A 13122-nucleotide genomic window follows, 5' to 3' on the forward strand; every position below is an offset into this window, starting at 1 on the left:
ACTTAAACAAATTTATAAGAAAGAAACAATGCCGTTTAAAAGTCAGCAAAAGACATGAACAGACACTTTCCAAAAGAAGGTACACATGCGGCCAAGCATATGAAAAAATGCTCAATATCATTAATCATTAGAGAAATGCAAATCAAAACCGCAATGAGATACCATCTCGTACCAGGTGGAATGGCTATTATCAAAAAGTCAAATTATTAATAACAGATACATCAAGGTTATGGAGAAAAGGGAATGCTTATACACTGCTGGTGGGAATGTAAATTACCTTAGCTATTGTGGAAAATGGTGTAATGATTCCTCCAAGAACTTAAAACAGAACTACTCTTCCACCAAGCAATCCCATTAGCGGGTATATACCCAAAGGAATATAAATCATTCTACCATAAAGACATATGCACGAGTATGTTCATTGCAGCACTGTTCACAACAGCAAATACATGAAATCAACCTAAATGCCCATCAACAGTAGATTGGGTAAAGAAAATGTGGTACATAGACCCCATGGAATACTATGCAGTCATAAAAAGAATGAGGTCATTTCCTTTGCAGCACCATGGATGGAGCTGCAGGCCATCATCCTAAGCAAACTAAATGGAAAAGAGCCAAATACCACATGTTCTCACTTATAAGTGGGAGCTAAACATAAGAACACATGGATACTAGAAGGTGAACCACATGCACTGGGGTCTACTTGACGGTGGAGGGTGGGAGGAGGAAGAAGATCAGAAAAAATACCTATTGAGTACTATGCTTATTACCTGGATGATGAAATTATCTGTACTCCAAACCCCTGTGATGCGCAGTTTACCTGTATAACAAACCTGCACATATACCCATGAACCTAAAATAAAAGTTAAAAAAACCTAAACCCCAAATTACCTTAAACCTTTATGAGTTTTTACATTTGAAAGTTAAATCGATAACTTAATGACAATAATTCAACTCTCTCATGCTTATCCCCCTCATCTAACCCAAAACAAAACAAGATGGGATGCTGAGGTGAGGAACCTTTGAATTTTTAAATAGTATTAGGTCTAGCAGAGCCTCAGAAAGACACGTTTACATTAAGAGGACTTTGACTATTGATATGGGCATGTAAGTTCTTTACTGCCACGTTCCTAGTAATTCCTGAATTGCACATGTATGAAATGACATTAATTCTCTCATACTTTAGGGTTGCTTGTTAGTGCCTAGAAGGAATACAGTCTCTGTGGCCAGTCTCCTTGGATCAACAAGAGCCTTGTAGTTTCCCATTTTTCATGTGCTAATAGTGAAAATGTTTAGAAAGCCCCATCTATCCTCCCACATTGGCATCCCACTGATGTGCTGTCCTGGTTGCTAGGTGCAGATTTAGGTTCCAAGCAGAACACTGCTAGTGTTCTCTGCAGTTTGTTGTAGAATCATAGTGTCTTGGCAACCAAAGGCAGATCTGGTGCTATGGAGGACCTGCTTACTGCTATGAGGTGTTACTTTATAGAGGTCCTGGAGAAGCTGATTGAGGCCACGTCAATGTTGCAAGGAGACATGAGACTCACATCAGAGTTCTATGGCTTAACATGGGGGATGGTGGTAAGTGCGGCTCTATTTGGATTTTGTAATTATAAAAGCCCACTTTATGTAGAGAGAAAAAAAAGAGTTTACCAGAGAAGTTTCTTCTGTAGTTGAAGACAAATGTAATGTTTTAATAAATTAGGCTGATTAAAAAAGAATATGAGCTTGGTGTGGTGGCTCATGCCTGTAATCCCAGCGCTTTGGGAGGCTGAGGCGGGTGGATCACCTGAGGTCAGGAGTTTGAGACCAGCCCGGCCAACATGGTGAAATTCCGTCTCTACTAAAAATACAAAAAATTAGCCAGGCATGGTGGCAGGTCCTGTAATCCCAGCTACTTGGGAGGCTGAGGCAGGATAATCCTTGAACCTGGGAGGCAGAGGTTGCAGTGAGCCGAGATCACGCCATTGTACTACAGCCTGGGCAATGGGAGTGAAACTTTGTCTCTTAAAAAAAAAACGAGTATGAAGAGTATAAATTATTTTTCATGGAGTCCTGCCCTTAGAACAAGGCATTAAATCCTCTAAGTGTATAGGAAATTTGAGTTCAAAATAGATGCTTTGAAAAAAAGGAATGTTTTTGAAAAATGCGAATTTTTACAGATTTACAATGTAGAAGTGCAGTTGTGTTCCATGGATATATTGCATAGTGGTGAAGTCTGATTTTTCAATGTATCCATCATCCAAATAAAATACATTGTCCTCAGTAGGTAGTCTTTCATCCCTCAACCCTTTCCCAGCCTCCCACCTTTTGGAGTCTCCAATGCCTATATTTCACTCTATATCCACATGTACCCATTGTTTAGCTCCCACTTATAATTGATAATATGTAGCATTTGGCTTTTTGTTTCTGAGTTCTCTTAAGCCAATGGCCTCCAGTTACAGTCACGTTGCTGCAAAAGACATGATTTCAGTCTTTTTATGGCCAAGTAGTATTCTAAAGTGTGTATATATGTATACCACATTTTAGAAATCCAATAGTCCACTGATGGACACTCAGGCTGATTTTATTACTTTGCTATTGTGGATAGTGCTGCGATATACATAGACACATAGGTTTCTTTTTGATATAATGATTTCTTTACCTTTAGCTTGATATCCAGTAATGGGATTGCTGGATCGAATGGTAGCTCTATTTTTAGTTCTTTGAAAAGTCTCCATACTGTTTTCCACAGAGGTTGTACTAATTTACATTCCCACCAATAGTGTATGTAATCCTTTTCTCTATACCCTCGGCAAAATTTTTTTTTTCTGAATTTAATAATGGCCATTTTGACTGGCATAACATAATATCTCACTGTGGTTTTAATTTGCAGTTCTCTTATGATTAGCATTTGTTCATATGATTATTGGCCATTTATATGTCATCTTTAAAAAAAAAAGAACACCTTAAAGTTCAGAATGAATTACATTCATGGCTAGGTTTAGAATATGGGTTCCGTTACTGGAAGATGTGTTGAAGTCTTTTAAATAGTGAGAAGCTAATGCCAAAATAGCCTTAAAACTATGTCAGAAGAGGAAAAAAAACAACTTAAGACAGCAAAAAAAAAAAAAAAAATTGGGTTTGGATGAGCATTTCAATCTTGAGAAAAACCTAACGTGTTTGCAAAAGAAACTCAAGGATTGGATGACAAGTTTACCACTGGGCAAAAGGATATTTATATCCTTGGATTAAGTGTTAAGTGATAAGAAATCAAATCAAATAACTGAGTAAACAGTTGATGAATATTCCCTACTATACTTGGAGAAGATAAAATGGATGCTGGGACTTAGAATTGGATCAAATCAGAACAAGTACCAATCAATGTTCAGTCAAAGGTGATTGATTTGTTTATGCTTCTTAAAATACTTTTTTTTTTCTTTTTTGTGATGGAGTCTTGCTCTGTCGCCCAGGCTGGAGTGCAGTGGTGCAATCTCAGCTCATTGCAACCTCCATCTCCCGGTTTCAAGTGATTCTCCTACCTCAGCGTCCCGAGTAGCTGGGATTACAAGCATGCACCACCAATTCTGGCTAATTCTTGTATCTTTAGTAGAGACAGTGTTTCACCCTGTTGCCCAGTCTGGTCTCAAACTCCTGACCTCAAGTGACCCTCCCACTTTGGCCTCCCAAAGTGCTGGGATTACAGGTGTGAGCCACCGTGCCTGGCCTCTTACAAGACTCTTCATGGAGAGAGAAATAAAATAGAAATTAGGTTGTATGAATAACATTGAATCTTGAAGCCTTTAAAAATCACACTGAACATATTCGGCATGAATTAAGCATTTTTTAAAATTATACTTTAAGTTCTGGGGTACATGTGCACAATGTGCAGGTTTGTTACATAGGTATACATGTGCCATGTTGATTTGCTGCACCCATCAACTCGTCATTTACATTAGGTATTTCTCCTAATGCTATCCCTCCCCCAGTGCCCCCCACCCCCCGACAGGCCCTGGTGTGTGATGTTCCCCACCCTGTGTCCAAGTGTTCTCATTGTTCAACTCCCACTTATAAATGAGAACATGCAGTGTTTGGTTTTCTGTCCTTGTGATAGTTTGCTGAGAATGATGGTTTCCAGTTTCATCCATGTCCCTGCAAAGGGCATGAACTCATCCTTTTCTATGGCTGCATAGCATTCCACTGTGTATATGTGCCACATTTTCTTTATCCAGTGTATTATTGATGGACATTTGGGTTGGTTCCAAGTCTTTGCTATTGTGAGTGCCACAATAAACATACGTGTTCATGTGTCTTTATAGTATAATGATTTATAATCCTTTGAGTATATACCCAGTAATGGGATCGCTGGGTCAAATGGTATTTCTAGTTCTAGATCCTTGAGGAATCGCCACACTGTCTAAGCATTTGTCTAGTAAGAAAATGTAATTTGAAAGTAAGGTTCAGAACATTTAACCAAATGTTCAAGTAATTTCTAAACTGTATTGAGAAAATGGAATAAAGTTTCATAGATTATTTGTATTAGAAAAAGTTAATTAGAAAGTTTTCAAATGCACATTAAGTGATAGATACACACACACACAAAACAAAAATTCTTAGAGAAAAAAATGAAAAAACTGACCTGTTCTTATCAAAGACATGATTTCCCACATTTAAAAAACCTTGTAATAGTTGATTTACAGTTAAGTTGACTGATGGAAATCTCACTGATTTAAGAAAATCTATATGAAAGTCCAGATACCAGTATTTTTTCCTATAAAAAGCTACGTAGTCAATATTAAGGCTTTGTAAACCAAGACACAAAACTGGAGTATTATGAAAGTACTTATATAACAAAATTAAAAATAAATTCTCACAATTTTTTTTTGTTGCTGAAACAAAAGCACTGAAAATAATAAATACTAGCAAGAATGCAAAGTGAGGGAAACTCTCTTTGATTGCTGGTAGAAATGCAAAGTGGTGCAACCACTTTGACTATTTGGCAATTTTTATAAAGTTTAATATAGTCTTGCCATATGACTTAACAATCACATTCCTAAGTATTTACCCTAGTGAATTAAAACTTAGGTCCGTGTAAAAATCTGCATGCAAATGTTTATATCAGTTTCATTCATAATTACTCCAAACTGTAAGCAACCCATGCCCTTCAACAGGGGAAAGATAATCTTGGGTATTTCCACACAATGATCTATGATTTTGTGGAAGTTGATTGATCAATGAATACTATTGATCAATGGGATGGAATGAGCTACTGATACATGCAACAACATGAATATATGTTAAGGGTATTTTACTAAATGAATGAAGCCAGACTTCAAAGTCTGAATATTGTATGATTTCATTCATAAGACATCTGGGGAAAAAAAACCCACTGGGATGGAAACACATCAGTGGTATCCAGGGCTTAGTGTAAGGGAGATTAGTTTATTACAAAGAAGACACACAGGGGAATTTTTAAATGATGGAGTTGTTTTGTATGGTGCTGCACTAGTAATACACAAGTCCATGATTTATTAATCCCTAAGTAGTGTATCACAAAATTGCACTCAAATGCATGCAAATAAACAAGCAAAAATATCACCAAGATGTGGGAAGATCCTAGAATGGTATGACAGTGGCAAATCAACCTCACTTTATATAAATATGTAAGCTAACAACACTGAAAAGGGTAGAGAAGAAGTAAAAAGTGGCCTAACTTACCTTGAGAAATAATGTTTTGATTAAAAAATGTCAGACTGTAGACAAAAGTAACTTTGCATAAATATGGTATTCTGAATAGTAAATTTGTTTCTCATGCGGGTTCAGCTAATTCTGTAATTGCTTCACATGCATACCAGTTGAACAAAAATATTAAAATATGAACAGTGGCATCCAGGTTTCTCCCTGTTGGTAAGAGAAGTTACAGAGAAGCAAGAAAGGAAGGCCAGAATGACCATTAGGGACTGTGTTAGAGTCAGAGTTATCACTATGACCTCATGTTTAAACACAAGCCCAAATGCACATGGACACACACAGATGGACAAATAAGGAAACAACGACAGATATGTGTGTATTCAGGGCTTACTGTGTAGACACACATTACCTAGCCCTTTCTGCTGAAATAGCCTAGAAACAATGTTACCCTCATAGCAATGTGCACATGTCACACTCAGATAATGTTTTCTAATGCCATTTTCCAGTGAAAAGAAACAGAGATCGTTGGAGAAATGTCTGATTATAAGATATTTCTAAGCCTGGTGAAGAAATATATAAGAGAAGCCTGGAGAAGAACCAGTAATACCAGAAATCAGGGAGGGGCCCTGAAGAGAAAAGGATAACAAAAGGATGAAGACCTGTCCAAGGGACCCAGCAGCTAACTTGAAAGAGCTCTCAATGGGTAAAGCTGGAGCAATTTCAACAACAAAATAAATAACATATCACTGGATTATAACCTGAAGTATAAAACGTATGAGTCCATACTCTTATAAATAAATGATTGAATAAATACATAAATGAGAAGAAGGGAGAAATCTTCCTTACTAGTCTATTAATAGTCCCCACTTTCAGATGTGGAGCTCATGATCTCCTTTGTTAAGTGTAGGCTGGACTCAGTGACTGTCTTCCAAGGAATAGAGTATGGACAGGTAACAATTGTAAGTTTCAGTTTTATTTAGTGAAAACACTACCTTAACCAAGTGATTAAAGTCAGCACCATCAGTGATGCCATGTAGATATTATGTAACCCCTGCTCTGATGGGATAAAAAGGGCACTTTACCTCTGTGGTCTCCTCTGCAAAAATTCAAAGGCCCAGTGTAATTGATGGCAGCTGAAACCCATCTGGACTGTGATGCCGGCTGTAGTAGGGGAGATGCAGGTGTGGCTGTGCGCTCCGTGGAGCCCCTGGAGCCGGGAACAGGCGGAAGCCCCAACCCCTTATGAGTTGACAGGGCAAGAGCCTTGTGCTCCCCAGGCTCAGCTGCAGTTGCCCAGCAGCGGCTGTGGACAGGACATCCCTGTGCGCTTGGGGTTCAGGAGCAGGCAGAAGCCCCACCCTCCCTGGTGCAGCTGCAGCTGCTCAAGCTGTGTCTACAAACCTGGGCATCCCTGTGTTCTTGGGTGCCAGGAGTAAGAGCCCTGCCCTCCTGGGCGCAGCTGCAGATGCCCAAGCTGCAGCGGCAGACCCGGGCATCTCTGCACTCTTGGGGGCCTGGGAAAGCCCTTTTTGCCCCCGCAGGCTTGGAGGTGCCTGCTCCTGGTGTCTGATCTCTCCCTGCTCCTGGTGCGTGCTCTGATCTCGGAGCGTGGTTGAGGCCAGGCCCAGGTGCTATTGCAACCTGGCCTGGTGTGCCCACACTTGGGGCAGCACTGACATGCCAGTCTTCTGCCACCTCAGCCCCCTCTGGGCTTTGGGCACCAGTAAGCAAGGGAGGGAGGCTGGAGGGGGTGCTGCTGAGGGCAGCTTGGCGCTGGCCTGCAGGTGCCTCTTGGCAGGAACAGCCTGGGCACCGTCAACAGTGGCAGGAGGCCCACAGGCTCCTGGGCAGAAAGGGACGGGTCCCCGGTGAGGCCCCACCTTCAACTCAGGGAAGGATTGAAGCCTGGGAGACGGGCTGCCAGCCTCGCAGACTGGAGTGGGGACTTACGATGCTTTTTCCAAGCCTGCCCGTGGCTGCCCAAGGACCAATCAGCAAGCACTTCCTTTCCTCTGAAGTCCATAAAAATTCCCAGACTCAGCCAGACACAAAAAGATGTCAGGACAACCAGCTGCAGAGAGGAATTACCTACCCTAGGGTCTCTTTTCTGCTGAGACCTGAACACTCTGTGGGATGACCTGTCTGAGGAGAGGAGCTACCCACTCCAGGGTCTCCTCTCTGCGGAGAGCTGAACACTCGTTAGGACACCCTGGCTATGGAGAGGAGCGGGTTTCCTCTCAGCTGTTCTATTGTTCAATAAAGCTCCTCTTCACCTTACTCACCCTCCACTTATCCACATACCTCGTGAGTGTGGGACAAGAACTTGGGACCCACTGAATGGCATGGCTGAAAGAGCTGTCACACAAACAGGGCTGAAACATGCCCTTTCCTCACCTCATTGTGGTTGACATAAAGGAGATAAGAGATGCAACTCTTTGGGGAGCCCAGACCTAGGAGCTCCCTGAGCCAGGGCTGTGACACCCTTTTGGGTGGTTCTGTGGTTCCTGGTGCGGAAGCTGCTTGCAGTACACCTGGTCCAGCCGCAGACTTGCAGGGAGATGGCACCCCTGTCAGTGCCTGGAACTGCCTGCCCTGCTGCAGCAAGCATGCCTGGCTGTGTGCAGTAGCTGGACCCCACACTTGCTCCCTCATACACACCTGCCACAGTAAACATACTGCAGTATGTTGGGAGATATTGGATTTTACCAAAAGCTTTTTCAGCATCTATTGAGATGATCATATGGCTTTTCCTTTTAATTCTGTTTATGTGGTGAATCACATTTGTAGATTTGCAGATGTTCAACCAATCTTGCATGCCAGAAATAGAGCCTTCTTGATTGTGGTGTATTAACTTTTTGATGTGCTGCTGGATTTGTTTGATTAGTATTTTCTCAAGGATTTTTCCTTCTATGTTCATCAGGGATATTGGATGGAATTTTTTTCTTTTCTTTCTTTTTTTTTTTTTTTATTAAGCTAACTCACCTAACTTAGTGTGGGTCACATATCTTGGCTTGATAATCCCAAGCTGTGCTTAGAAACCCAGGTAGCACCAGGACATCCTGCAGCTCAGGGTTGGGCTCTGGCTGCACTGTGGGATCTGATATGCTTCTGGGTTGCTGGGAAAGTACTCAGGTGAAGCAAGGCATTCAGCTGGGCTGTGCAAGCTGCACAATGCACCTGCTTCTCCAGGGCAGCTAGGCATAGGACCTGAGAGGAGCCTGCAGGCAGGAGGGCTTGCAGAACAGATGTGTCTTAGTCCCATAGGGAAGCCAGCCCTGCTCTCCTTTGGCTTGACAGTCAGCTGAGTCAAGAGCCTTGCAGAGGGAGATGGGAAGCTCTCAGGGATGTGTGTCTATGGCTACCCTCCACCAAAGCTGCCCAGCACACAAAAGCTCCCAGGCTCTGCACTGTCTGAAGTACTGTCTCTGCCTGTTCCCCAGGGAGATACCCCTGCCAGCTAACACATTTATGGGGGATATGGGGTCTCTCATAGCTAGGATCCCAGAGGTACATGACAAGAGTGAGCTGTCCCTCAGTTCCCTGGCTCACCAATTTCCCAGGAGCCATCTGGGGCTGGGAACTAGCCCTGGCATTCAGGTACCACTTCAGGGTTTCCAGATTTCTGACTCTACAGCCTCAGCTTCAGCTTTGCTTCTCCATACACTCAGTGTTTTCTCTCCTAAGATCACACATTGACTTTGTATCCTGAGACTTTGCTGAATTTGCTTATCAGCTTAAGGAGATTTTGGGCTGAGATGATTAAATCAACCAATTTATGTTGATTAACTCAATAATTTGGTCTCTCTCGGTGAAAGCAGTGCTTCCTGGCTGCAACTAATTGGACATCTTGTCCCTTCCCATCTGTGTAACACATTTTTTATACATGCTTTATTTTGTCATAATTTTAGCTTTACAGAAAAGTTGCAAAGATGGCAAAGAATTCCCATATACACCTCAACCAGTTTCACTTTCACTTAATGTTACATTTCTCTGGTACATTTTTCAAAATTCAGAAACTAACATTGGTATGTTACTACTACCAAAACTCTAGACTATCTTTGGATTTCAGCAAGATTTTCTTTAACATCCTTTTTTTGTTGCAGAATCCCATCCAGGACACTCCATTGCCTTTAGTTGTCATGTGTTTCAGTTTCCTGAATCTCTGTTATCTTGTTTTTCATGATGTTGATAATTCTGAGTACTGCTCAGGTATCTTACAGAATGCACTTCAATCATGGTTTGTCCAATGTTTTCTAATGGTTATGTTACGGGATCCTTGGGTTATCACTTCACCAGCTGAAAACCTCTGTGGCTAGTGGCACTTATGCTGGGGTTTTGCTCAGGCCCACTGGCCCACTCAGCCTGGCAGCCTGTGCTCAGCTTACATTACCAGCCTGGATACTGCACACAGCCAGGCATGCTTGCTGATATTTCTGGTTCTAGATCCTTGTGGGAGTGTAAATTAATTCAACCATTGTGGAATGCCACAGTAAACATACATGTACATGCATGTTTATAGTAGAATGATTTATAATCCTTTGGGTATAAACCCAGTAATGGGATTGCTGGGTCAAATGATATTTCTGGATCTGGTTCTAGATCCTTGTGGAATTGCCACCCTGTCTTCCACAATGGTTGAATTAATTACACTCCCACCAACAATGTAAAAGCATTCCTATTTCTCCACATCCTCTCCAGCATCTGTTGTTTCCTGACTTTTTAATGGTCACCATTCTAACTGGCGTATGATGGAATCTCATTGTGGTTTTGATTTGCGTTTCTCTAATGATGAGTGATGATGAGCTTTTTTCATGTTTGTTGGCTACATAAATGTCTTCTTTTGAGAAGTGTCTGTTCATATCATTTGCCCACTTTTTGATGGGGTTGTTTTTTTCTTGTAAATTTGTTTAAGTTCTTTGTAGACTCTGGATATTAGCCCTTTGTCGGATGGATTGCAAAAATTTTCTCCCATTCTGTAGGTTGCCTGTTCACTCTGATGATAGTTTCTTTTGCTGTGCAGAAGCTCTTTAGTTTAATTAGATCCCATTTGTCTATTTTGGCTTTTGTTGCTATTGCTTTTGGTGTTTTAGTCATGAAGTCTTTGTCCATGCCTATGTCCTGAATGGTATTGCCTAGGTTTTCTTCTAAATCTTTTATGGTTTTAGGTTTTATGTTTAAGTCTTTAATCCATCTTGAGTTAATTTTTGTATAAAGTGTAAGGAAGTGGTCCAGTTTCTGTTTTCTGCATGTGGCTAGCCAGTTTTCCCAACACCATTTATTAAATAGGGAATCTTTTCCACATTGCTTGTTTTTTTCAGGTTCATGGAAGATCAGATGGTTGTAGATGTGTGGTGTTATTTCTGAGGCCTCTGTTCTGTTCCATTGGTCTATATATTTGTTTTGGTACCAGTACCATGCTGTTTTTAAAACCTGTTTTATAAAAAAGGGAATTATTGTGAGACTTCAATGAGCCAGTGCATACACATCTAGATTTTGGACAGTGCCTGAAACATAGGAAGGATCTAATGAATGTAAGCCAGTTATCATTAATAGTATGATTAGCATTAATCATTAGTAATAATCATTACTCATAATATTGAGTCATTATTTCAGCTTGTCATGTGTATGAAAAAGCAGAGATATAATTTATTATTGGTAATCCCAGTGCTTATTGTAATTTTATAATATTATGATATGAAATGATTAAATGTATATGTCACTTCTTTGTTTCTAGCATAGTGCAGAGAACATAGTTTCCTCATAAGTGAAAGTCAAGTCAATAGTAGGAGATATTTGGTTATCTGAAGGGCATAGCTGATAACAGTAATTGACTCAGCAGCTCTTCCTTCTTATTCTATTATTTTCACAGCCTCTACTCCTCTTCACCTTTTATATGGCACTGGTGCCAGTTCATTTATCAATTCTTTTTTTTTTTTTTTTTTTGCATTATCAGTAAATAAACTTATCCCTTGACAAGAGAATGGTGATTCCACTGTTATCTTAAACCTTTTCTTATTTATGCATCCTGCATATATCAAAAGAAACCTCAAATACCACTGATTCTTTTTCAATTAAAAAATTCCCACTGACTTTTTTATGTGTGGAGATATAATAAGCAAATTTTCATTCAAAAGTTTCAAAGGATAAGAAGGATTTTTGGAATCACTAAAAATACTTGATATTTATTTCAAGGTTCCCTGGAAACAAATTGGACATTCTGATTACTTAACATGATGCAACCCAGAGGTAATGATGTAGGTTAGATGATCTTGAAAGACCCTTCCCAATCATGGTAACATAATTCTCTGTGGTAGACACCACTCGCCTTTATTCTAAGTGTCCTAGAGATATCCATGCCTTTCTTTGTGTTGTGTTTCAAGGAAGTCTGGTGCAAAGACTGATACATGCAATGATGTTTTGAGCTTTCAACTCTTTTGCCATTCTGACTCAACTACCTTTTGCCCACAGATTGAGAATAAAATTATCATGTATCTTGCACTGCCTTAAGAACATATAAGTAAAAATCTTAAGATGAGGTAAAAGTGTGTTACAGATAATGTCTTCAGTCACCGGGATATTTTTGACTGACATGGGCTGTCCTTGCCAGGTTCCTAATGGATTTCCACAATGAGAAGCTGATTTTATAGACATTAGTAACATTTGCACTGTCACAGAGAGAAGGTTGTGGCTTTTAATAAAACCAGCCAGTATTTATTAAAGTCCTACTATTCTCACAATGTTGTGTCCTTTATTTTAACCTTAGGGATTCTGAGTCCCTCAAGTTTAATTGGTCATTGTGTCCCCAGAGGCAATAAGTTAACTCTATTCCCAATTGCACTGGTGGCATAATACTGACACATAGGTAGTTCACAAATTCTAAAACTAGGGTGAAGATTAGAGTTATAAAACATGAACTATGAAAAATAGGTTTGGAATGTATTAATTTGAAGAGCATAAGGCTAAATAAACATACAGCCACAAATTTCTTTATTTTTCATTTTTAAATTTTATAGCTGTATTGAGATATAATTTATTTACAATACAGTTCACCCATTTAAAGTGTACAAGTCAATGATTTTTGGTATATTTCATTACTAATTTATAACATTGTGGTAATATATAACATAAAATTTGCCATTTTAACTATTTTTAAGTGTACAATTTAATGGTGTTAATTATATTCATACTATTGTGTAAATCTTGCCACTATTTTCTAAACTTTTTCGTCATCCCAAACAGAAACTCTAACCCTTAGTGATAACTCTCCATTCCCCTCCCCCATCCCCTAGTAACTTTCAACCTACCTTATGTCTGTATGAATTTGCATGTTCCAGATATTTCATATTATTGGAAACATACAATTTTTGCCCTTTTAGGTCTGGCTTATTCATTTAGCATAAGATGTACATATTGCTTTATAGCCTGCTTTTTCACTTAGCAGCATATTGTGAG

General features: G+C 39.9%; 1 long non-coding RNA gene across 1 annotated transcript; it reads left to right on the forward strand.

The window, feature by feature from the left end:
- Window positions 1–1207: 1207 nt before the first annotated feature.
- LOC124901297 (uncharacterized) lies at window positions 1208–6489 on the forward strand. Its single transcript, XR_007059540.1, has 2 exons — window positions 1208–1581; window positions 6177–6489. It is a non-coding gene; the product is annotated as an uncharacterized LOC124901297 (long non-coding RNA).
- The last annotated feature ends 6633 nt before the right edge of the window (window positions 6490–13122 follow it).

This window comes from Homo sapiens, chromosome 6 (genome assembly GCF_000001405.40).
Source record: "Homo sapiens chromosome 6, GRCh38.p14 Primary Assembly".
In the NCBI taxonomy this organism is placed as follows: Eukaryota; Metazoa; Chordata; class Mammalia; order Primates; family Hominidae; genus Homo; species Homo sapiens.